General features: G+C 38.4%; 1 protein-coding gene across 23 annotated transcripts in view; it reads right to left on the bottom strand.

Moving 5' to 3' along the window:
* The window catches only part of PSD3 (pleckstrin and Sec7 domain containing 3), a 557,503-nt gene that overhangs the window by 25,863 nt on the left and 504,597 nt on the right, over positions 1-27,043 (bottom strand). For 21 of the 23 annotated variants that reach the window (NM_001412865.1, NM_001412866.1, NM_001412872.1 and 18 more), the window contains 3 exons: positions 21,963-22,120; positions 19,363-19,507; positions 3,044-3,187 (listed from right to left, as the gene is read on the bottom strand). In NM_001412865.1, the coding sequence (NP_001399794.1) occupies positions 3,044-3,187; positions 19,363-19,507; positions 21,963-22,120 (447 nt within the window). Of the gene's footprint in view, positions 1-2,292; positions 3,188-19,362; positions 19,508-21,962; positions 22,121-27,043 lie in introns of those variants that run through there. The other 2 variants (NM_001412870.1, NM_001412880.1) reach the window with 2 other exon arrangements.

Consider the following 27,043-nt stretch of genomic DNA (forward strand, 5'->3'; position numbering starts at 1 on the left):
ATTTTTCCTTACCAAGGACTTGTGAAAATGGTAAGAATTGCTTTGAAACCAAGGGAGGCCCTGTTGAGGAGGACCCACCATAAGAGGAGGTGAGAGCACCCATTCATGCCTATGATCTTCCCTGGTGATTAAAGCTCCTCTTCCTGTCACTGCCCATCTGTGGGCTCCCACTGAACTGCAGACACTGCTGTCTGCTCTCACCTGGGTGAGAACAGTCACCAGGTTTGTTTTCATGGGAGCTTCTGGTCCTGTTAAAACAATGAATACTAAGGTTTCTCAGAGAATTACTTCCTCTGATGTTATCTTTTATATACAATAATAAAATTTCACGCATGTTGTCAACAAACGTGCGTCAATTAGTCAGTGTTCCAGAAACTGGGAAAAATGGTCAATAACTCTTATATCTGCTATGAAGCGGCCTGCTCAGGGAATGCTGCTTATGAAGCAAAGGATGCTGTGCAAAGACTCTCTGCAAGCACTCACGAGAGAAAAATTCCGGTGGCTGCAACAATAGCAAAGTGGACTCAATATGATATATGACTTCAATGTTAATTTAAATTACTGAAAAACAATTGTTCACTTCTTAAAAAGCACTACTTATACAAAACCCCTTTTAGATGACAGCTGAAATTTTCCCTCTTTCATGACATAAATATTAGCTGTACCAAGTCAGCTATCCTCGCGCCTTTCTGATAGACACAGGTGAAGGAGCTTGACAGACAAGTCAACCTGCTTGACATATTAGCATATGGGTCTGATTTTAATGAGTCCTGGAACGCAGTCTGCAAGCTCGCTGAGGTGACGATTTGATGAAAGCAAGACTTAATCCCTGCAAAACTTGGTCTAACTTCATGTCAGGGATTGAAAATGCTGGCTCTTGGTGGGTTACATTTTCAGAAAAGAGGTAGCGCTGTCGACTCAAAAGTAGGGAGGGCTCCTAGCAATGGCAAGCTTTCCATGGCCTTGCAGCCACCCCCCACCTCCTGGGGACAGGCTCTTCCACCTTCGGCATCAAGGGCTCCAGCGAGGTGCTGAGTGCTGGAAGCAGGGACTGAGGTGCTGGGAAATTTAATTAGCTTGTGTGAAACAAAACAGGCCTATGGCTTAAAGCCACTTCAGAAGTGTGAAGAATAATGATTGCTTTTTGAGAACTCCCATTTCCCAAGAATGAACAAGCCTGGGGAAAGATGAGCTGCCTAGTTTTTTGTTGTTGGTTTATTTTTATTTTTTATTTTATTTTTTCAAGCATTTTGCTGGTAAGGCTTCTACGGTTTTTGCTAAGAAACGTTTACCTTTACCAAAATAAATAGTTCTCTTAGTAGAGTTCTCCGCCCAGAGCAAGGATTTGCTTGACCATGAAGAAAACTAGTACATGGAACTGTAGTGGAAGTGTCATTTTTTTAATCAAATGCTACATTTGATAACAGAAATATTATAACTCAGAGACTTTTTAAGGCTTCTATGAAATTGTATCCAATTCAGCAAGCACACATAGCAAGGCCTGGAAATGAACTTAGGCTCATAGTTTTGGGTAGGGGGAGGTATTACGGAATCCGCTACAGGTAACAAAGACAGATGAAAATAACTTCAGCTTAAAAAAATTGTGCCAAGTACTGAAACAGATGAATCCCAGCTAGTATATCTGGATCAGGTTTTTCATAGGAGGAATTTGGGCTGTACCTCAAAAGACGAACAGGACTGTCAGAAATGAAGATGATGGGAAGAGCATCTTAGGCAGAGGAAAGTAAGTGAACAAAGGTATAAACGTGTGTTTGGGGAGAGTAGGCAGAAATGTGACTACCGTAGGGAGGCCAGTGTGGGAAAGACGGACGTTGTGGAAACGTGGAGACGCCAAATCCTCTCCAGTGAAAGAAATGAGACTTTCTTCAGGAGGTAACTGGGGGAGGGGAATCGGGGAAGCTGTAGGCAGCTGTCAAGCAGAGGAATGCCGTCATCTGGGTTGAACCTCAGAAAAACAACCGGCCAAAGGATTTAGGATGAACGGAAGGAGAGCGGAGTGAGAGGAGAAAGCCAGGGCTCAGCAGAGGAAGTAGTTATAAAGCAATACAAGGAAGGGACAGGTGTGAGACGCCACAGACACTGATCGCTAGGATGTGGACACTTAGAAGATTTTAAATTTCAAGCCTGAGGAGGAAATCAGATAAGATGAAAACAAAGGAGAGGAACAATGAGAAGTAAAAGGGGCCAGAGCTACAATGAAAAAGAACAGCTAAAGGCAGATTCAGCACACCCACCAGAAAAAAAAACAAAAACAAAAAACAACAGGTCAAATTAGTCGATAATTAATTCTTTTTATTTTGTATTGCATGCTACCTACTTTAAAAATAAAAAGACACTTTAAATGTCTGAAGGCAGAGGCTAAGGGACTCTAACCCTGACATTAATTTGGAAGAAAACTGAGCCATGGAAATATTTGGAAATATACTGTTTTCAACTTGGGTTTAAATTTTACACTTTTCCATGCCATAGCATATGGATCCTCACCATTCTTTTTAATAAGCACACTCACTGTATAGATGGATGTGCCACAACTTAATTTATCAACCCCCTTCTGAAGGGCAGTGGGTGACAAGAAGAAAAACGCATAGTGTTGCCGAACAGCAAGAATGTGCAGGGAAAAGCTGATGCCTCACATCAACTATGTGGCTCATTTCCTCCCTTGTGCTTTTTTTGACTCCAATTCTGCCGGAAGAGACACAGGGATACAGAAAGCAGCTGTCCACCCTGGTGTGTCCCTCTACTGTTCTTTTTCTTCCCCTCACAGCGGGCGCACACTATTCCAACCAGGCAGGCTATTTACTTTTAAGTGTATAAACTGGCAGGTTACTCTTTGATGTTTGCTTGGCACTTAAACAGAATCACAAACAAGAGGGGCCACCATGACCTTGCCAGGAGCTCCCAAATTAGAGCCAGGGGCAAGACACGCCTCTCTCAGTGACACTGCAAAGAAAGATACCGCCTCATGGACAGATCATAAGAAAACTCAGAAATCAGCATTTACTAACATTTGGGTGCAACACACCTCAAACTCCAGATAGTGGTCTTTCAGTTTGTACTCATCGACGTCCTTGGCTTTGACCTTCTTGTCGGGGGGATATGAGCGGTGCTCGGCCAGCTCGGTGGTGATCTGCTTCAGCTTACTTTCATGTGACTTCAGTTGCTCCTCCTGCAGGAAATCATGATGCCATTTAGCGTTCAAAAAAAAAACAAGTCAATAACAAAGCACAGCATACTTTAAAAAATCCCCTGTGCTGAATGACTTTAATTCACTAAAACAGCCCAATGTGCCTCTGCTGCCACATCCTTCCAGCTTTCTCACGCCCCTGTCCACATATTTCATATATTCCTTCCCGGGATGGCAATCAAGGCCAACCTCTTTAACTAGGTCCCTTGTCATAAAACCAAATGGCTTCCGAGCTCTTTATCAGGTGTAAATGCCCCTGAGTTGGGACCAGGCCTTAAGAGATGCCCTGACAGGCATGTCACCAGCTGAACAGTTAAGCAGCTAGCATGGAAGCTGCACACCTTGGCTTTCCCATTTCATGCCCACTCAGCAATGCTGCCAGCTTTTCCATCCATCACAATGAATGAATTGTAATTGTCTATGTGCATATTTTTTTTCCTTTTTGAAAGAAGCAGAGCTACGAAGAAAAATTTCTTCTCTGAAGCTTACCAGATGATATTCTAAAACATGCAGCTATCTCGCTTTTCTCTTACCAAAGCAGCAGAGTTCTTAGTTCCTTCAACTTGATTGGCCCAAAGCAACCCGTCAATTAAAATGTATCTACCTATTTAGCAATTATTGCCTTAGTAGCATTATTATAGGTACCGTGTACCAATGCAATATGGTTGATCCTACATCAAAGGATTTCCATTCTAAGGGTACCATTTATATCACCTTAGCAATAGGCTACCCAAAAAGATATGTTACTGAACCTTCTGCCAGCATTTTAAAAACATTCTTGGAATTCTCTTGCATTCTTGAAAATGTATGACTCCTTACTGTTCTAGTTTCACATGCAAATTATCCAAATTTCACAGGTACAATAAGATAAATGGGTAAAGGCAAATGAAACAGATCTGACTAAATTAGGTGATAAATGTATTTTATATAACACCAACATAATTGTAGAACACAAAAATCTTGTAGAATGAGGGGAATAATTTTTTACATAAACAGAAAATGAATAACTATGGACAGTAAATTACAAATATATAATATTGTTGTAAATTAGAAGAAAACGTGTCCAGAAATTATGAGCGTCACATATAATATCTTACGGACTTTTGTAATAATGTACATCTTAAAAGCCAAACAACAAAAACAAAATCCAAGTCAAAAACCATCAAAACAGAAGAAAACAATGACAAGTAAAAAGCAGAGGACACGAATGGAAAAATGAACAAGAAAGGTAGCATGAACACGTGGAGTGATCTAAAAATGACAAGATTCATTTCTAAATGCCAACTATAACAAAACAAAATGAAACACTCCAAGAAGTCCCAGAAAAGGACGAAGGAGAAAAGAAACCTATTTTGAGATTTTAGAAAGGCGTCTACATCTCCAAACCTATTATTTGTATACTGATAATGCTGAAAGTCAAAAATGCTTCAGGTAGCTTTTATTTACAAGTTCTTACTCATCTATTACTTTCAGGCAAGGAGACTATCAACTATGTTATGGATTGAATGTGTCCACTCAAAATTAACCTTCAGTGTAGCTATACTCGAAAATGGGGTCCCTAAAGAAGTAATAATGGTTAAATGAGGTCATAAGAGTGGGGCATATATCCAATAGGATTAGTGCCCTTATAAGAGGAGACACTGTGTGCAAGCACCAATGGAAGGCCATGGTGGCCATCCACAGCCCTAGGGGAGAGCCCTCACCAGACACCAACTCTGCTGGCACCTTGATCTTGGATTTCCCATCTCCAGAACTGTGAGAAAATAGATGTCTGCTATGGAAGCCACCCAATCTATAGTGTTTTGTTATGGCAGCCTGAGCTAAGACAAACTATATCAATAGTTTTTATTTCTTTCAAAGTTGTTTTCCTTTGTGTATTTATTGCAATATGTAAATTACCTAATAGACTTCTTGACAAATGATATTTAGTGACTGGACCACTTCAAAAAATAAAAGCATGATGTATTTTCCTTCTTTTCTAAAAAAAGTTTTAAATATATAAAAAGTCATATTGAATGATATATGAAAAACACCCATGAATCTAACATAGGAATTTAAGAAATAAAATATAAATAAATGGAAACTCCCTACACATGTACGTGCTCATCTCATTCCTTTTCAGTGTTATTCATATATAAAGATATGTAACCATAAAAATACAGAAGTGTAGCCGGGTGTGGGGTGCCTCACGCCTGTAATCCCAGCACTTTGGGAGGCTGAGGCAGGTGGATCACAAGGTCAGGAGTTTGAGACCAGCCTGACTAACATGGTGAAACCCTGTCTCTACTAAAAATACAAAAATTAGCCAGGCGTGGTAGCACGTGCCTGTAATCCCAGTGACTCAGGAGGCTGAGGCAGGAGAATCACTTGAACCTGGGAGATGGAGGCTGCAGTGAGTCGAGGTTGCGCCACTGCACTCCAGTCTGGGTGACAGAGCAAGACTCCATCTCAAAAAAACAAAACAAAACAAAACCAGAAGTGTATTCTCTAGGTTTTATACTTGATATAAAAACTAATTAAAGGCTTTCTTTTGTAATTTTTTTTTCACTCAACATGTTTTTAAGATTTATCTACATGTATGCTCTAGTTCCTGTCTTTTAAACATTGCATAGTACCCCACTGCAGGACACATTACAATTTTGTTTAAGGATATTTAGCTTGTTTTCAGGTTTCCTGTTGTGGGATTTTTTTTCCCTGTTATAAATGATGTTGCAACAGACATTCTTACACATGTCTCCTAGGGAATCTGAGCAAGAGTTTTTCTATAGTGTGTCACAAAGTGTTGGCATTTCTGGGTTTTAGAATATGCGCATCTTTAAGATGACTGTTTTCTAAAGTGTTTTTATCTGTTTACATTTCCACAGCAGGTCTGAAAGTTCTCTTTGTTTTACATTCTTGTCAAAATGTGATGTTATTATACTTGTAAATTGTTGCTAATTTCATAGGTAAGAAATGATAAGCCACTGTGATTTGAATTTATATTTCCCTGAATATGAATGAGGATGAGATTTTGTTCATAGGTTTACTGGGTTTCCTCTTCTGTGGATTACTGGACCCATTTTTCTATTGGGTTGTTTGCCTTTTAAAAAATAGATTTGTATCAGTATAGTTATTTATAATATATATGTTAAGAAATCAAACTCTTTCTATTTGTGGTTAGGAAATAATTAGAATCCAATAATTAGAATCCAATGATAGAATCCAGTTTATTTAAGAAAAAATAGGATTTTAGGTAATTTGGTAAAAGAATTTACAAACTTCTATTTTTTTTTACTTTGGATCTATGCAAATATGCTTTCAGATGTTTGCTTCTTCTAAAAGCTTTAGATTTAGGCTTTCCAATCTTGAATATTCAAATGTCTCTTTTTCTGTTGAACAAATCCCAATTTCTACTTATTTTAATGAGGAATACAGGCTAGAATGACAATATGTGCAACATCTTATGTTTTTCACTTTCCTCCCAATACCAGGGCTTGCTCGGGTTTGTTCACTGTTACCAAGCTATGGTACGTAAATCTGTTTCTACAGCAGCATAAAGGGCTAGTCATTTAGGCTATATTTTTACAAAGGAACTAACCGAGGAAGTGCTGATGTTCAATGAGAAATGCTTCACTACTATTTCACTGGCTTCATAAGGCAGGAGTCAATAAAGTAAGCTCAAAATAAAGCATTTTAAAATCACATCTCCTTAAATCTGTCCATTTTGAACAGTGAAATAGAAATGCCAAGTGGCTCTTACGGACACAGCTTGACCATGCAAATTATTCCAGTGCTAGAATCCCATGATAAGAAAGATACACATTTTACACACACACACACACACACACACACACACACACAAACAAAAAAACAACAACAGCAACAACAACAAAAAACAATGGTAAAAAACAACGGGAGAGAGGCTGCAGCCATGGAGATGTCACATTCTCAGACTCAGGACAACTACATTTGTAATAGACACGATGAAGAAAGACAAAGTAGGAATTTGCTTTTTTATTCCCCCACCTTTTGTCTTTGCTTTTACAGTTCTTTAGGGATGCATACATACTGTTTTTAGAAGACAATACTAGCAAAATAGATTTCAGAGATGGCAGAAAAATATTACATTTGACAAAGAAAAGGCATGGAGATAGAAAATACCACAAACTCATAAAATTGTTTTAAGTTAGGAAGTGATAATTTTTAAAAAATGAAATTGAAAATACTAGATACAAGAAAAGTTGTTGTGGTTATATGTCAATAGATTTAAATCAGTAAGACCTTTCATAATATATACAACAACATTTTATCTAAAAGGCAAGTTTTCGAAGTCACTTAGGATTTCATTTACTTATATTAGGGGTTAATCCCCAAAGTATATAAGGAACTCAAAACAATACAATAGCAAGAAAACAAAGCAATTAAAAAATGGGCAAAGGACTTTGCTATGGTTTCATTGTATCCCCTTCAAACTTCATATCGAAACTTAATCCTCATTGTGTAGTATTAAGAGATGGTGCCTTTTGGAAAGTGATTGAGTCCCTCATGAAGCGGTAAGTGTCTTATAGAAGTGCTGGAGTGATATAGGTTAGACCCTTTTTTGCCCCCGTCTTCTGTCATGTGAGGATACAACATTTATCCTCACAAATGCTGTCAGGAAAATCTGGAAAACTGTAAGAAGGCTCCTCAAAAAACTAAAAATGGAATTACCAAATAATCTAGCAATCCCACTTCTGAGTATGTAGCCAAAGAAATGAAATCAGTATCTCAAAAAGATGTGGCATTCTCATGGTGAGACCATGCCGTATCTTCTTCAAGAAGAGGGAACAGCTCTTGGCTGCAGCATTATTCACAATAGCTAAGATCTAGAAGAGATCTAAGTGTCCTTTGAAAAATGGATAAGGAAAATGTGGTATATATACACAATGGAGTATTATTTATTCACCCTTAAAAAAGAGGAAATTCTGTCATTTGCGACAACATGGACAAACCTGGAGGACATTTTGCTAACTGAAGTAAGACCGGCACAGAAAGACAGATATTGGATGATCTCATATATGGAATCTAAAACAATTGAACTCATAGAAATAAGGAGAATGGTGGTTACCAGAGGCTGGGGGCAAGGGACTGGGGACATGCTGGTCAAAGGATGAAAAATATCAGACAAGAGGAATAAATTCTGTTGTGTATCATGATGGCTAGAGTTCATAATAATGCACTGTGTATTTCAAACTTGCTCAAAGAATAGAATTTAAGTGTTCTAACCATAAAAAATTGATATAGCAAAACATCACAATTATACCTGGAAATACATATAATTATTATATGGTCAATTAAAATTGTTAAAAAAATATTTAATTTTTTTCCTATTTATATAGTACTTAGGTTTTGAGAACAATTTCAGAATTTCCTTTAAAATATTAAGCTCTAATGTCATCTCTATGAAGACAGTATTGCTTAACTGATCAGGCAATGGGAACAGGCAACTTGGCTGTTGAAGATCTTGCAGTGTGAGTCAAGGGCTGACTTGGAGTTACAGTCCTTCTCCCCCGGTGCAAAGCCCAGGACCAAGGGCCAGAAATTAGCTTTTTATCTTTTTATACCAAGTATAAGATTTACATAGTACTTATCATGGAGAGAAGGATGAGAGAGAAGCTGTGAAAACTTAAAGGAAACAATAAAATAGAAATGCAGATGGCTCCAAGAGGGAAAGGAGGAAGAATGAGAGAGAAGGCAGAGAGAATCGGGAAACAGAGAACACATTTATCCATCCGCGAACCTCACCGAGCGCCCATACAGCAGGCACTGTGCTGGGTGCTGGGAATAAGAAGAGGGAACAGCCACAGTGGCTGCCACCAGTCTTTTCCTCCAAGCTGTGGGATACAGAATCCTAGATGTTCTAAGGTGGAAGAGAACCTGGCCACTGTCCTTTCTACCCTCTTTGTCTTAGAGAAGATGGAGATCCAGAGAGTTCAAGTAATTGCTCCAGTTCAGACAAAAGGACAGAGTGGCAGAAGCCACATTCTCCCAACTTCTATCATGAAGTCACCTTGGAACAGCCTTCTGAAATCCAAAGGGCTGTCAACAACATAGCTTCAGCACATTGTCTTACTTGACAGATCAATCCTGAACTCAGCTTTCAGAGCTCTTGGTAAACTCCACTGCTGCCGGGTCTCCTCTGCTATAGCTCTCAAACGTGCAGGCTGGACTCAGGGTTACTCACCTTGCTCCAAATTCCACTCAAAACCTCTGTTACAGGCTGGGCCTGGTGACTCACACCTGTAATCCTAGCACTTTAAGAGGCTGAGATGGGCGGATCACTGAAGGTCAAGAGTTCGAGACCAGCCTGGCCAACATGGTGAAACCCCGTTTCTACTAAAAATACAAAAATTAGCCGGGTGTGGTGGCATGCGCCTTTAATTCCAATTGCACTGGAGGCCGAGGCAGGGGAATTGCTTGAACCTGGGAGGCGGAGGTTGCAGGGAGCCGAGATCATGCCACTGCACTCCAGCCTGGGCGACAGAGTGAGACTCTGTCTAGATAAAGAAAAAGAAAAAGAAAAAGAAAAAGAAAAAGAAAAAGAAAAAACAAAAACAAAACAAAACCAAACCTATGTTACTCTAGATCACACCACTTCTTCCTCTTCTGCATTACGGCAGCACTTAAATGTCTACGTCATATGCTTAGCACAAAATATACCCTGACCTTTGTGTGAGTTTTATCTCCTTTACCGATTACAAGCTCTTAAAAAGGCAAAAAAGGTCACTTTTTTCCTTCCCTTAAATCCTCCAGTATCCAGTAAAGTGTTGAGCAGAGAGATAGTATGTGGCAGCTTTTGGTTTATAGACATTACCTGCCTAACATGAACAAATACCTTAAGCTCTCAGAAGTTGAGGGCCAAGGCAATTGTCTCACCTGTTTTTATAATGCCCACAAAACCTAACATAGTACCTGCTATACAGGATCTTCGGTAAACAGTAGCTGAACAAATAGATTTTTTTTTTTAAGTGAAGATACAGAGGGGAGGGCTTAGACTGTTTCCTTTGTGCTGTCTTAAAGGAGACAGATGATTTTCAGGGTAATCATGTATCTAGGGATCCGCAGTGCAACTTAGAAGTCAAATTGCTAAACACTGGAAACTGTTCAAAACGAAGTGGTACAGAATTTAGAATACAGAACACCTGTCTTTGAGTCAGTTTGAGGGAGGCTCAATCCAAAAGATTGTTTCATAATTTCATGTTTAAGACAGCTTTAGACCTTAAACACAGTATTTAATGAGTATAAGCAAAATAGCTTCCACATGATTTAATTACTTGTTTTATTGGGTACTTAATATATATTAAATACAGACCTCGAAGAAATGAATTTTTAAAAATCTATCCATTCAGGAAAAGTATGGGTAACAATTAAGGCCACATCAAAGAGTTTGAATGTGAAAAAATGAATCAGTTAAGGGTAAGTGACATAATTAGAATCATATTTTAGTCAGAACTGTAAAGGGTGGATCAGAAGGACATAAGATTACTGGAAGAGAGATCACAAGTGGTTACAGAAATCATCTGGGTCAGATTATTCCAAAGTGGGGTGTGTGTAGCCCAGGCAAGATGACCCACTGCAAAGAGTTTTAAAATCAGTATTGAGATACAATTCACATACCATAAAAACACCCCTGCATGTCTAACAGTGCTGAACTCGTTTATGAGTTTTCAAAAATTTTAATAGCTCCTTAGGCACTGGGAAAAAATTTAAAGTTTTCTTCTTCTTTTTTTTTTTTAATCTAAGCACTACAAAATGTTAAGGTTTACTAATATTTATTACTGGGATTGACAGTGGAAAATGTAGTTTATTTTCTTTAAAAAAGCATCATATATTAAAAGATATCTGCTGAAATATTTAGTATTGGGATAAGGTGAATAGTCAAAAAAGTGAGTAGACCAGTGATCTAGGTAGAATATGACAAAAATCTGAAGCAGTAGGTGTAGAATATGAAAGACATTGGCCAGGCACGGTGGCTCACGCCTGTAATCCCAACACTTTGGGAGGCCGATGCGGGCGGATCACCTGAGGTCAGGAGGTCAAGACCAGCCTGGCCAACATGGTGAAACCCCGTCTCTACTAAAAATAAACACATTAGCTGGGCATGGTGGTGCACACCTGTAATCCCAGCTACTTGGGAGGCTGAGGCAGGACAATCACTTGAACCTGGGAGGTGGAGGTTGCAGTGAGCCAAGATGGCACCACTGCACTCCAGCCTGGGTGATAGAGTGAGACCTTGTCTCAAAAAAAAAAAAAAAAGATATTTAGAGGGTAGAAGTGACAGGACTTTATGACAGAAACTGTGGAAATGGGTGGGTGGGGGCGCAGTGAAGGAAGCAACTACAAGAATGACCTCCTCCCCTGAAATCCCACTGCCCGTAAGGTCAGCTCCACTCACCTGGCTCTGAGCACCACTGCCTTGTGGTCATACCACAGGACAAAAGGAGGGGTGGGGGTTACTTCAGCGTGAGAATCAAGCATAGGACTGCTTTGCTTCTGATCAGTATCCATCTTAAGTCTGACCAAAAAAGTATTTAGTACCCATGGATTCAAACTTTTATAAGACAATGGTTGGAATTCTAAGAAAAAAGACCTAGATATCAGGAAATGAAGATGTCCTGGGGCACCATTCTCTAAAGAAGCAAGGAAAGACCTAGGGTAGGCACAGGTTCCTACAGTGTAGGGTTTAAGTGGGATCTGGAGCCACCTGCCGGCCTGGAGTGGAAAAGAAACACACATGTGTCCCTGAGCCCAGCCTGGACCTGAACGACCTGGTGGGGCTGGGAAATGTGCATTTTCTGCAAGTCCCGACATAGCTGTTGTGCACACTGAAGTTTGAAAAGACTTCTCTGGTGGGCAGAAAGGGAGGTTGTGAGCAGACTGTGAACAGGGCCGGCCATGCATTTCTGTGTTTGGAGAGCTACACCAGAAGGAGAAGCAAAACTTGTATTTTCAAACAAGTCTTTCCACCCCCAATAGAAGAAAAATGTGCTCTGGCAGCACTGTCATGAAAAACAAAGAAGGCGACTCCTCCTACACAGCAGAGTTGTTCAGAAAGTACCACGCTGCACTGGCAATAATCAATTTTAATGATTAAGGCTAATGTGTTTTGCATAAAAGACAAGAATAAATTAAAGCAAAGCCCACAAATGACAGGGTGACAAACACTGTGTCTTGAAAAAGCACCAAACAATCTTTTAATTGAACGTCTAATTTTTCCCCACACTGTTTATCTTTCTTTATCAATGTTTCCAGCAAGGCACTCACATTTTTATACCTGTATTTTGTAAAGTAAAATTATCCAAAAAATTGTGGCATTTAGGGGAGTCAGAGCCAGGTTGTGGGAGTATGGGGAAAAAAAGATAGCTGGTCTCACGGCTTCACATCCACTGGCTAAAGCAGTGGTTCTCAATAGGAGTGGGTTGGATTTTGACCCCAGAAGATATTTGGCAATGTCTGGAGACATTTTTGGTTGTTAGAACTGGGGGGTCCCTATTGGCATCTAGTGGGTAGAAGCTGGGGATATCGCTAAACATCCTACAATTCACAGAGGCCCTCACGACAAAGAATTATCCACACCAAAATGTTAATGCTGCTGCGCTCGAATATGCCTGGGTTAAAGGATGAGAGCTAGTCTTTGAGGTACTGGAGGAATCCTAGGGGCAGCCAGACATCTTCCAGGATTTGCTGGAGGCACACTATGACCCCAGTATAGATATCCCCAAGAGCCTCAGGTGCTACTCCAAATACATGCTTAATTTTACATATGTGTTTCTCAAAGCTAAAAATCTTATCTTTAGAAACAAACCTTATGACTCGGCAAAGAAATAATACAGAGCTTTGGATAGAAAAATCCTTGCTGGGCAGGGTGGCTCACGCCTGTAATTCCAGCACTTTGGGAGGCCGAGGTGGGCAGACTGCTTGAGGCCAGGAGTTCGAGACCATCATTGCTAACACGGTGAAACCTTATCTCTACTAAAAATACGAAAAATTAGCTGGGTATGGTGGCGGGCGCCTGTAATCCCAGCTACTCGAGAGGCTGAGGCAGGAGAATGGCATGAACCCGGGAGGTGGGGATTGCAGTGAGCCGAGATCAAGCCACTGCACTCCAGCCTGGGCAACAGAGCCAGACTCTGTCTCAAAAAAAAAAAAAAAAAAAAAATTCCTTAAAAACATTCTAGAACCATCTCATTTTTCTAGATGGAAAGCTGAGGCCCACAAAGCAAATGCTGGGTGATGCAATTCAGTGGGGTGGCGGAGATCATCTCATTTCTTTCCAAATAAATTAAATTCCTGAAATGATACGGTTACCTTGTCTTACATGATACTGCAGGATATTTCTTTTTGGTTATTACCTTCTTATTTAAAATCTTCAATCCCTAATTGTGATTATACTACATATGCATGTTTTTGCATCTCTGTGGATTTATGTCCAAAATGAAGGAAAACATTTTTAAAAATTATGCATTCTATTTTTGGTTCCAGTGTAAGTCATCTGTTAGAAATAAGAGTGCCTACCATGATAAATGTGTGTGCTTGCCTGTTCTGGGGAAAACACGCAAACAGATGAACACATTCATTTTCACGTACATATCACTTACTAGTATACAGTCCCTAAATAGGAAAGCAGTACATTTTTTAAAGTATAAAGTAAACAGAACTGTAGATTTTAGTGAGGGAAAATCAAGGAAACACTCATATGTTGCTCTAAGTTACATTCACCTTCCATGAATGACATGCTTATTATCAGCCCTCTTTAGTTCAACTCACCTTCTCCCCTGGATCTTTTATAGAACTGAATGTGAGAAAGACCCAAACTACTGAAAAAGAACAATGGGAAAGTCCACCGTAAAATTAATAGAGCAAAACTCAATTTTGGAAGGTTTTTTTTTTTGCTTCCAGTTACTTGATTTTTTCCCTCCCCTTATATCGTGTAATGTGATTTACCTTTTATGCGACATGCTCTTTATGTGGTATGCTGCTTATGTTAAGTATGCATATTTAAAGCAGAGAAATGCATTTGCTTTAAGAGTTCATATTTTAGTTGGATAGATGGAGATGTCTGCCAACATACCTTCTGGTCATCAGTAAGAGCATTCCTTTTCTTTTAAAGTTGTAGTGTACTTATTACCCTTAAAAATTCAATGCCATTGTGTCCTGCAAGAACTGTACAGTAATAGTAATGCTTACAAGTAAGCATTCAATATATGTTAATGATAATTATGAATTAAAAACAGAAGAATCTTTCCTGAAACCACAGATTCTTCCTTCTTACTACTAGTCTTTCTGTTTTTATAACTATGGCAACACTTGAGCACATTTTCCTCCTCCACTTCCTTATTACCTTCCATTCATTCCCCCATCAAAGAAGGCCAATGTGGTTTGTCTTCCCATGACTCCACCAAAATGTTCTTGCTAAGGTTATCCAATGATATAGTTTGGATGCTTGTCCCCTCCGAATCTCATGTTGTAATGTGATCCCCAATGTTGGAGGTGGGACCTGGTAAGAGGTGTTTGCGTTATGGGGGTAGATCCCTCATGAATGGCTTGATGCCACGCTTATGATAATGAGGTAGTTCTTGCTTTATTAGTTCAAGTGAAAGTGGGTTGTTAAAAAGAGCCTGGCACTTTCCCTTCCTCTCTCTCTTGCCATGTGACACATCTGTTTCCCTTTCCCCTTCTATCATCATTTGATGCTTCCTGAGATTCTTACCAGAAGCAGATGCTGATGCCATGCTTCGTGTATAGCCTGCAGAACCGTGAGCCAAATAAACCTCTCTTCTTTCTAAATGACCCAGGCTCTAGTATTCTTTATAGAAACACAAAATGGGCTAAGATACCCAGTGACCTCCCAGCCACTAAATATCACATTTTTAAATCTAAATCTTCATGGAACCTTTTCCCCCCTTTCTTGGCACAACATTCTCCCTGTTTGTATTAAATCTAAGTAACTTTTTGGAAAATTGCTTATCAAGTGCCTTAGTCTGCTTCTGAGCTCTGGCCACTGCAGGAATTGGAGACAGAAAGAAGAAAATGATCCAAGAAAGGAGTCTAAGAAGCAAGGGGGGAAATCAAGAGACAGTGAGGTGAGACTCCAGAAGCAGGTCAGACACCACAGTCCCCAGCTGTCCAAGCCACAATGACAGCCTGTTTCCTCTACTTCCATGAGCCACCAGAAGTGTCCATTCTACACTTTCAAGGTCTCTCAAGCACTTTCACTACGATCCATTTCTTCTGCAGCTACCTTGGTTATCTCTCCTCTGGATTACTGAAAATTCCTTTAAAATGGGCCTTTCTGCTTCTAGTAGTACCTTCTTCTTCTTTTTTTTTTTTATTATACTTTAAGTTTTCGGGTACATGTGCACAATGTGCAGGTTAGTTACATACGTATACATGTGCCATGCTGGTGCGCTGCACCCACTAACTCGTCATCTAGCATTAGGTATATCTCCCGATGCTATCCCTCCCCACTCCCCCGACCCCACAACAGTCCCCAGAGGGTGATATTCCCCTTCCTGTGTCCATGTGATCTCACTGTTCAGTTCCCACCTATGAGTGAGAATATGTGGTGTTTGGTTTTTTGTTCTTGCGATAGCTTACTGAGAATGATGATTTCCAATTTCATCCATGTCCCTACAAAGGACATGAACTCATCATTTTTTATGGCTGCGTAGTATTCCATGGTGTATATGTGCCACATTTTCTTAATCCAGTCTATCGTTGTTGGACATTTGGGTTGGTTCCAAGTCTTTGCTATTGTGAATAATGCCGCAATAAACATACGTGTGCATGTGTCTTTATAGCAGCATGATTTATAGTCCTTTGGGTATATACCCAGTAATGGGATGGCTGGGTCAAATGGTATTTCTAGTTCTAGATCCCTGAGGAATCGCCACACTGACTTCCACAATGGTTGAACTAGTTTACAGTCCCACCAACAGTGTAAAAGTGTTCCTATTTCTCCACATCCTCTCCAGCACCTGTTGTTTCCTGACTTTTTAATGATTGCCATTCTAACTGGTGTGAGATGGTATCTCAATGTAGAAAAATCACAAGCATTCTTATACACCAACAACAGACAAACAGAGAGCCAAATCATGAGTGAACTCCCATTCACAATTGCTTCAAAGAGAATAAAATACCTAGGAATCCAACTTACAAGGGATGTGAAGGACCTCTTCCAGGAGAACTACCAACCACTGCTCAAGGAAATAAAAGAGGATACAAACAAATGGAAGAACATTCCATTTAAGTTTTCGGGTACATGTGCACATTGTGCAGGTTACTTACATACGTATACATGTGCCATGCTGGTGCGCTGCACCCACTAACTCGTCATCTAGCATTAGGTATATCTCCCGATGCTATCCCTCCCCACTCCCCCGACCCCACAACAGTCCCCAGAGTGTGACATTCCCCTTCCTGTGTCCATGTGATCTCATTGTTCAGTTCCCACCTATGAGTGAGAATATGTGGTAGGAAGAATCAATATCGTGAAAATGGCCATACTGCCCAAGGTAATTTACAGATTCAATGCCATCCCCATCAAGCTACCAATGACTTTCTTCACAGAATTGGAAAAAACTACTTTAAAGTTCATATGGAACCAAAAAAGAGCCCGCATCGCCAAGTCAATCCTAAGCCAAAAGAACGAAGCTGGAGGCATCACACTACCTGACTTCAAACTATACTACAAGGCTATAGCAACCAAAACACCGTGGTACTGGTACCAAAACAGAGATATAGATCAATGGAACAGAACAGAGCCCTCAGAAATAATGCCGCTTATCTACAACCATCTGATCTTTGACAAACATGACAAAAACAAGCAATGGGGATTCCCTATTTAATAAATGGTGCTGGGAAAACTGGCTAGCCATATGTAGAAAGCTGAAACTGGATCCCTTCCTTACACCTTATACAAAAATCAATTCAAGATGGATTAAAGACTTAAACGTTAGACCTAAAACCATAGAAACCCTAGAAGAAAACCTAGGCATTACCATTCAGGACATAGGCATGGGCAAGGACTTCATGTCTAAAACACCAAAAGCAATGGCAACAAAACACAAAATTGACAAATGGGATCTAATTAAACTAAAGAGCTTCTGCACAGCAAAAGAAACTACCATCAGAGTGAACAGGCAACCTATAAAATGGGAGAAAATTTTCGCAACCTACTACTCATCTGACAAAGGGCTAATATCCAGAATCTACAATGAATTCAAACAAATTTACAAGAAAAAAACAAACAACCCCATCAAAAAGTGGGCGAAGGACATGAACAGACACTTCTCAAAAGAAGACATTTATGCAGCCAAAAAACACATGAAAAAATGCTCATCATCACTGGCCATCAGAGAAATGCAAGTAGTATCTTCTTCTAACAATTTCTCATATTGTAATGAGAATAATTTTTAAAGCAAAAATGTGATCACATTACTGTCCTGCTTAAAACTATTATTATTATTATTATTATTATTATTATTATTGAGATGGAGTTTTGCTCTGTCGCCCAGGCTGGAATGCAGTGGCATGATCTCGGCTCACTGCAACCTCAGCCTCCTGGGTTCAACCAGTTCTCCTGTGTCCACCTCCCAAGTAGCTGGGATTACAGTCATCCACCACTGCGCCTGGCTAATTTTTGTATTTTTTACTAGAGACAGGGTTTTACCATGCTGGCCAGGCTGGTCTCAAACTCCTGACCTCAGGTGATCTGCCCACCTCGGCTTCCAAAAGTGCTGGGATTACAGGCATGAGCCACTGTGCCCAGTCTTAAAGCTATTATTTTAAGGATGCTGGGAACCACAGCAGCATCCAAAATCCTACACACGACAAACAAGGCCTTTCATGATTTGGCCTTTGCTGACCTCTGCAGAGGTACATTTCTTGCTTTTTCTCAACACTGTGCTCATGTCACAGTTAATAACTTGTGTGTGGTTCCTGCATCCAGCGCTCTCTTCTCTAGGCCTTCGTTCCTCTGATGGCTCTTTTTCCTATCTCGTCCCACACCTCACCTAACTGCCTCTCATCCTTTAAGCTGCACATTAGGTACCACATTTCCTCCTTCACCTCCAAGGCCAGGCTAGATAATGTCCCTTCCTTGAACCTCCACAGCTCTCTGGACTTATCCTTCCTGTACTTCTATCAAATCATTTTACAATGACTTCCTTATTTATATTTGCCACACCTTCAGCAGAGGATCTGGCCTTCATCTGCCTTTCTATCTCCAGGGCCAAAAATAGTCTCTGATGTACAACAGGCACACAATACATATTTATTAAATTAATCTATCATTGATAATTGCTCCCTCTCTTGCCATGGGACACATCTTATGATATCAAAGATGTATAGGGAGCTAGTTAATACCAACACTTGGTCGATCATAGTAAGATAAAACTGTCTCTATGTAATAAGAAATTCACAAAGACATCAAAGTAGCTTCCAAAATCTTTAACTAGTCAATGGCAAGGGGGTACTACAGACAGGTTTAAAATGAGCAAACCTAGCTGGTAGGTAGTGTCCTTAGAAGAGTTTTAAGTGAAAAAGGACATGATAAAATATGGCTTTTAGTAAGATTAATCTGACCACAGAAGGAGGCTTATGTAAATACACTTGGAGCAGAGTTCTGGTATACTTTATCTTCATTAGCTTGGAAAATCCAAATGTTCCATTCAGCTCTGCTCTGAGGGGTAGGGCAGGCCATTTCCCATTGTAATATGAACCGTGGATTCCTGAAAATATTTTTGTATTTCTAGCACTAAACACATCCTGGAATATGGTAAATGCTCAATAAAAATGAGCTAATAAATGAATGCAAGAAAAGCTTGTTACCAAGCCAGATTATGAGCTGGCAGTTAAAACAAACAAAACATCAAGTATTGCTCATAATGAACTAATATAAACCTTAGAAACTGAATCAAAGTACGTGTCCTACTAACTGAGACTCAATTATGTCAGCTTCCTACATGAAGTGTAAAACCCAGTGTACTGCATATCTGCCTCATTTATATGATACGCTCTCACAGGGCAAGGTCTCACACCTGCCCCCAAAACATGGACTACTATCCAAAGACAAATATTTATCACATTATTTTACAAAGTACTTTTTCCCAAGGTCAAAGCACTATCAAGATGATTACCTGAGACAGTTTTGTTGTAGTGGCAGGCAGAAGTGGGCGGCTAAACTTCTTCTGAGAGCCGATTGCTGCTGGAAATGGTGGTGCAGAAAATACAGCTGCCACACAATTGATTTTGTTTATCCACCCTTGCATTTCCTCTGGGCTCCTATGAGAAATAGATATGTTTATATCAGGATATTGCCATGTCTAAGTAGCATCACACTTTGCCTATTTCACGTTACTGATTTGCAATGGCATGTGAAAATCATTTACTCCTCCTGGTACAACTAATCCCTGACAAAACTTCATTAGAGATGAACATTGTCATTCGACGATCACCAAAGAAGCTATGATCATCACAGTGCCAGACTGTGATTCTCTCCCTAGGAAACAGAAGGGAAAAAAGAGAAACACTTGACAATAAATATTGATTAAACCCCTACTTTCTGTTTGATACGAGGCTAGGCCAAAAATAAATTATAAAATTTACTCATCTCTTCTAATTGTACTGTTTAATTTTAAAATCTAACTGAGGAATGCATTGGTAGAGGGAAGGTAAAAGGATTTATCTACTTTGGAAAACAGCTGACAGGTTCTTCGAAAGTTAACTGTGCATGTATCATACGTCCCAGCAATTCTACTCCTAAGTAACTATCCAAGAGAAATAAAAACATATAGATATGCCAGACGTGGTGGCTCATGCCTGTAATCCCAGCACTTTGGGAAGCCGAGGTGGGCAGATCACGTGAGGTCAGGAGTTCAAGACCAGCCTGGCCAACATGGTGAAACCCCATCTGTACTAAAAATACAGAAATTAGCTGGGCATGGTGGTGCACACTTGTAGTCCCAGCTACTTGGGAGGCTGAGGCAGGAGAATCACTTGTACCTGGGAGGCGGAGGTTGCAGTGAGCAGAGATCACGCCACCGCACTCCAGGCTAGGGTGGCAAAGTGAGACTCCATCTCAAAAGAAAACATACAGATACACAAAGATTTGTATGTTAGTGTTTATAGCATCATCATTCCTGAGTCAAAAAAGGGAAACAATCCAAATTGTCCAGTAAATGGATAAACAAAATGCAGTAAATGCACACAACTGAACAGTATTTAGCAATAAAGTACTGACACACACTACAATACAGATAAACTTCCAAAGCTTTATGTTAAATAAAAGAAGCCAGACACAAAAGACCACATCATATATTAGTCTGTTTATATGAAGTGTCCAGAAAGGGCAATACTGCAGAGGCAGAAAGTAGATCAGTGGGTGCCTGGGGCTGGAGGTGAGAATGGCAGTGACTACAAAATGCGCACGGGGATCTCTTTGGAGTGATGGAAATGATTCAAAACTAGATTGTGGTGATGGCTGAGCCATTCTGTAAATATGCTAAAAAAATCACTGAAATGTACATTTCAAACTGGTGATATTTTATGGTACGTAAAGCATACCTCAATAAGACTATTTAGAAAACCCACCTGAGAGGAGGTGAAAATCATCTGATGTGATCATATTTTTAATTTATGTGTCATTATATCCAGAAAGCCCAAGATTCACAGCACTTAATAAATATTTGCAAACTCATAAATGAATGGTAGAAATGATCATGAATCAGGACAGATTATCTACCATACACATAATCAATAAACAAAAAGTAAAAAAAAAGTCAGCCAAAGTCATTTCCTTCATCAATTACTCTGAGAGAAACCACACAAACAAACCTGAGACCACTCTAAATGTCAGCTCCTCACGGCACCCTCTCTAGGCTGATCTCTCTGGCTCCATTATTATTTCAATGGACTGTTTTTTGCATCAATTCTGTCCAAAGTAATTAGATCTCCTTAGTTATTACATCTGGTATTTTTGATTGAAAAAATCAGGGAACAGAATAATTTGAAAGTTTCTTTATGCCCAATAGCTGTAATTATACATCCAGCTATGGGTCCCTGTGTGATGTTAACCATCCCATTCCTACACTCAAAAACCCCGGGCAACTTGTTTCCTTATAACCTCCCCCTAAAACTGGCAATTCATCCCATTTCCTTGCTCACAGTAGAATGACATCTTTTCCTTCTAGTATAATCATGGACTACTAGAGCTCAGAAGGGAAACAAAAAAATAAACATTTACATTTATTGAACAGTTCCTATGTGCCAGGCACTGTGTGAGGTATTATACACACTTATCTCACTGACTTCTCACTAGAACTCTGTAAGATAAACGTTATCCCCCACACTAGTGACGAGCTGAGGTTCAGAGGTTAAACTATGTGCTAGGAGAAAGAGCTAGAGAAACAGTGTTATCTAGGTCTGTTTTACTCATTTTGCGATAAAACTTGTCTACTAAAACCCTCATATTTTATTGATGAGGATACTGAATTCTAGAGATGGTAAGTGGCTGACTAAAAGTCAAAGGGCTACTTTGTAACAGGTAAAAATGTAAATCCTGGGTTTCTATTTTTTTTTACTCTAATCTTCTTAGGCAGTTATTTCTCTAATGTAAGCAGTTGATGACTTTGATTCCAACTCAAAAAATTTCCCCTGCAGAGCTTGATTTTGTTCCTTGCAATAAAGTAGTGCTAAGTGAACTAAAACACAAAATCAAATAAAAACCAACAAAACATACTGAGTTTGAAAAAGCAAGACCCTCCAGTCGGCAGTTTTAAGTTTAAACACGTTTGGTTTCTTCTCATAGTCCGTGGCCTTGGATGCCAATGCGTGGTGCACACTCACAGCGTTTTTCAAGTCCTCTTCAGACAAGGCCTTTTCTGGCTTGTATTCATCCTATAGATGGACACAAAGAAAATAAAGGCAAAAATCACGATCAGATTTCAACTTAATTTTTTAAAAGCAAAAACTAAAAAAATAGTTTTTAGGAAATCCAAGTAAGTGAATGAAAAAAATGAAACAAACGGTGAGTAAAAACAACCTTATAAATGTTACAGAACATTATGTTGTTTGAAAAATTTGCTGAGAATGAGAAAATACATCTACCCAAGGCATTTTTTTAAAAATCAGTTTTTTTAAAAAACTGATATACAATAATTGAGGTAAATAGCTAAGTAAGGCCAAAGGCAGAAATAAATATCTATCGTACACATTTTATAATGAACAGAAATGAGACTTGGACCAATAGTGTGATTTGGTTTCAGGATTAAATGGTTAAAAGCACAACCTTACAGGTAACTGTCAACAGAATTATACCGAGGATAAAAACAATGCCATTGTGTTCTTTGCTCTGAAGATATTACATGTTCCTGTTACTTTCTGTTTAGACTAATATTATCAAAAGAAAAATGAATAGTAAAATAAAATAATTACTCCAGCTCTTCTGCTGAAAGAAAAGAGGAAAATCAATAATCAGGTGAAAGCTTAGCTTGTTATCAAAAACTGAAAAATAGGTAAATGCATATGCTACCAACTGTTAGATATTTTCTAGAGTTTAAGGCCTCCCTTCCTCCTTCCCATATTTTATCAAAAACAAGATAAACATGCATTCTGTAAAACACACACGTGTACCCCCGAACACACACACCACATCACCTTCTAATTAGTAGTAAAAGCCTAAAGAAAGATATTGTCTGTTTTCTTATCAGTCTGCTTTTACAAATTTTCACAAAAACAATGCCAGTCCTCCATACTTCCCCTCCCTTTCATTTATCCCCTCCAAAAACCAAGCAGTTCAAATGTACTATTGCCATCAATTCAAATTGAGTCAAAAATAATCCTTCATGTGACAATGCTGTGAGGCAAAGGTTTTCCCTCTACAATATGATGTAAATACCAGTGGTAATATAAAGATTATCCACATTTATAATATTAAACGACAAAATTGTTACTTTGGGATTGCAACAAGTCTTACTTTATTAAGCCTCCCAGGATAAGAAGTGCTATTGACAATGACAGTCTTCTCGAGTGGTATGATGAATAAAGGAGAATTTAAAAAACAAATACAAGGTATTTATATGTACCTGTTACTAATTCCCACTAATTCATAAAACTATAATCTAGTTATGTTTTAAGATCTGCCTTGTCATTTTTTAAATGAGATTTTTCTCAGTAATTTAGCATTCCAAATATTCACAAATCTCCTTCCAGGGAAATTTTCATCAGAGTAGGAATTTCAACTAGAGGTAGCATGACTACAAAACCCCTCTGGCCTTATAATTACGCTATAACAGAACCCGGCACATGTGGCTCTCCACGCAGTGTAACTTAGATTCCAGACAAAAACATGAGGTAGGTAAATAACTGGAATGAGGAGAAATGATGAGGGCCAAAATCACTTGAGGGAATTTATATGCCACCTCCATTTCCATACATACTGATCCCCTAACACACCTAATGATTGAGTTTGCACAAAGGTTAGCCTAGAAATTTGTGTGTACTTTTTTTTTTTTTATATTCTAGGTCCATGATTTAAGCTTTTATCTTAATTCCTCTTCCCTATTTTCTTTGAATTAATATTTTGTTGTTGTTTGAATTTCTTAAGATGATTACCTAGTTCTTTTGTTTTCCATATTTCTTCTTTGGTTAAGAAAGAATTTAAGGTTACAATTTTTCCTCTGAGTATGGGTTACACTGTGTAGCAGAGTTTGGGAAAGAAGAGTATTTTTTCATTGCTTTCTAGATAGTTTGTAGTTTTAATTTTTTATCTCTTCTTTAATCTTAGTAATATCAAATAATGTGCTTCTCAAATTTAAGGTAAAGTTTTAGTTATATATTATTAGATATTCATAATTTTATTGGCTTATGACCAGAGAATATGGTCTAGAAAATCTATTTTCCCCAAATTTGGTAAGGTTTTTCTTGTGGCCAATCACATGTTTGATTTTCGTTAATGTTCCATAAACATACAAAAAATTTATTCTTTGAGGAATGAATGTGTCTTTATATTCAAGTTTATTGACTCGGTTCCTCTGCCCTTACATCATTTTTTCTACTAGTTTATCCCCTTCAGACACGTATATTAACCTTTTCCACTTCAAGTTCTTGTTGCATTTCTGATAAGTTTTATACATATTTTAGTTGCTATGTTGTCTGGTGCATTTAGGTTTATAACTATCATCTTCCTTATAACTATGTGCCACTTATTACTTAAAATGTTCTTCTTTATCCGTTTAATGCTTAGTCATATAAGATGGAAATTTAAAAGAGTCTTTCTTTTACGAAAATGCTCTGTTTATCTATTCCTCACCCACATCAACAAGATAAGACTTTGAAAAATGTTTTGTTCTGCAATCTTACTAAAATTATCTTGTGTTATGCATTTTCTGTTTCAAGAAGCCTTATTTTGAATTTAGATTATACATTCTGAGTCTCCCCTCATAGATTTAACTGCATCTATGTTTCCTCGCTCACCTGCTTCTTTCTTTTTTCCATCTTGACCTCTCTCCTCTCATACCTTTGCTATTTTCTCTTCTCTCAAGTATTTTCTTTAGGTAGGTGGTATACTGTTTTATTCTTATCCTCAAGTATCTTTCATTTCTTTGATAGGTATAGAACTGGATATAGAACATATGGCTGCAGTCTTCTTCATTGGTTTTACTTATTGTCTGGAGATGCTATTCTACCATCTTCTAGCTTCCAGTTTAATACAAGTCCAATGCCAATCTAATTATTTTCTCTTTTTCTTGTTTTTTTCTCTTAGGAATCACATATGGGTTTTCCTTTAATCTTAGGATTCAGGATTTTTTGCTAGGCTATGCCTTACTTTTCTTAGCCATCCATTTAGTCTGAAACTAAAAAGTCCCACCCTTATTCTCCCTTATGTAACCATTCACTTGGGTTGATAATTGCTGACAAAACTAATAAACATAGTTGTGCAGACTGTAGCTAAGACAGATTTAAGGTCTCCAGCTACGGCTGCATCCAGTGCCAACCTACAATTCTTTTACATCTCCATGATTTGTGAAATTCTTCCTCAGCTTTTTGTTACAATACCCTCCTGGTTTCTCTCCTACCTCTCTGATCATTATTTTGCTATCTCTTCTTCTTCATGCCCTTCTATGTAACCGTTGGGATGGTTTGAACTCCAGATATATATCACAATGTCTAACAAACTGCTACAGGTGAATAGGAAACACAAAACCAATTGGTAGCTATTACTATTGAATGACTTAGACTGTCTCATTTGGAGCCACTATAAATATTCTTCGAGTATATTATCTGCTGATATCTTCATTTAAAATCAAGCTCAAAGGATGACATTCTTATGCTACTCTTAAAAATGCAAAAAAAAAAAAATTTAATGCTACATTTATTACAGACCCAGGAAAAAGCTAACAGTAATTGTCACCTTGGAAGAACTGCACCATTATTTTAAAAGAGGACTCTATTCCAAGGTAGTTTCCTAAACTCTAAGGTAAACTGCCAGATTACCTTATACTGGAAGGAGAACACTATATACGGCATCAGTGGAAGACAGGATCTATTTAATTAGGGCTAAACTGAAGTTGAAAAATTTTAAGTCTAGGAAGCTTCCGCTTTTCTAGTTGATAATACAATTTTACCATTTTTTCTTAAAAAGGCAAAATGCAAACCTTAAAATATTTTCAGCATTCTGAATTCCTACTAGAAAATAAAGCTCCAAGTCCACACACACACACACACACACACACACACACACACACAAAGGGCAAAACCAAGAGTAGAGTGGAAACATTAGGGTTGACAATTGGATTAAAAAAATGACTTTATCCTACTAAGTTCATTCTGACATCTTTATTTTTCACTAAAGGAGAGGATAGTGTTTAAATGGTAGAATTGGGCAGGAAGAAATAACGGATAAATCATCGTAATCAAACCATTTCAAACCAAGGACTATTTGCTGTGCAAACTAAATGTGAAACAGTGAGCAAGATAAATCCAATCAAGAAATTTTCTGTAAGAAAAGAAAATGCTCCACGACATCTAATTACTATCCATTTTCTCAAATAAATGAGGGGTGAAAATGATGACTAAAAACATGTTACTCTCTCGTGTTCCCTGCAATCTACATCGTTTTATGTAACAGGATTCATTAGAGCACTCCACCATCCCAATAAACACCAAGAATGTGATTTCACAATGCTATTTATTTTAAATCCATTAAAAGCATGAAATAAAAAGCTTTTTTTCCCTGAGAAACTTGTTAATTAAACCTCTTGTGAAGTTGAATCTTAACACACTAACATAAACATCATCTACATATGTACAAAAAATTGGCATCAAGTCTGAAAAATTGTACTTTCAGGTAATATAAACTACAATTTGGAAAATGACCAAATTGTAATTAAAATTCTTATCAATTTAAAAAGCATATTAAAGACTCCAGTTTTCAATGTACTATTTACTTCATGCCTCATTAAATAGGTAAAATAGCTACATGTACTTAAAACAATTTTAAACACAGTTGAAATGGTCTTGATTTCCACTGAGAGAATATAAAAAGGGAAAGTGAGACCACATTGTTACTTGGAGCTATGTGGAAATTAATAAAAATGTTAGTAATTAAAGCAAGCTGGGTCCTAAATTGTCTATTAATTCATGGTTTTGAAACTGGCATTAAAAATGTTTTTTATAATTTGATGAATATCTTTTTTAAAAAATGCTAAGTATGTCTGATTAGGCGTCTTTCTAAAACTCATTCAGCTTCGTCCTAATAACTATTTCAACATGTAAAAGAGCACAGAACCAGCAGTTTCACAAAAGGAAATAAAAACGCCA

Source organism: Homo sapiens, chromosome 8 (assembly GCF_000001405.40).
Source record: "Homo sapiens chromosome 8, GRCh38.p14 Primary Assembly".
In the NCBI taxonomy this organism is placed as follows: Eukaryota; Metazoa; Chordata; class Mammalia; order Primates; family Hominidae; genus Homo; species Homo sapiens.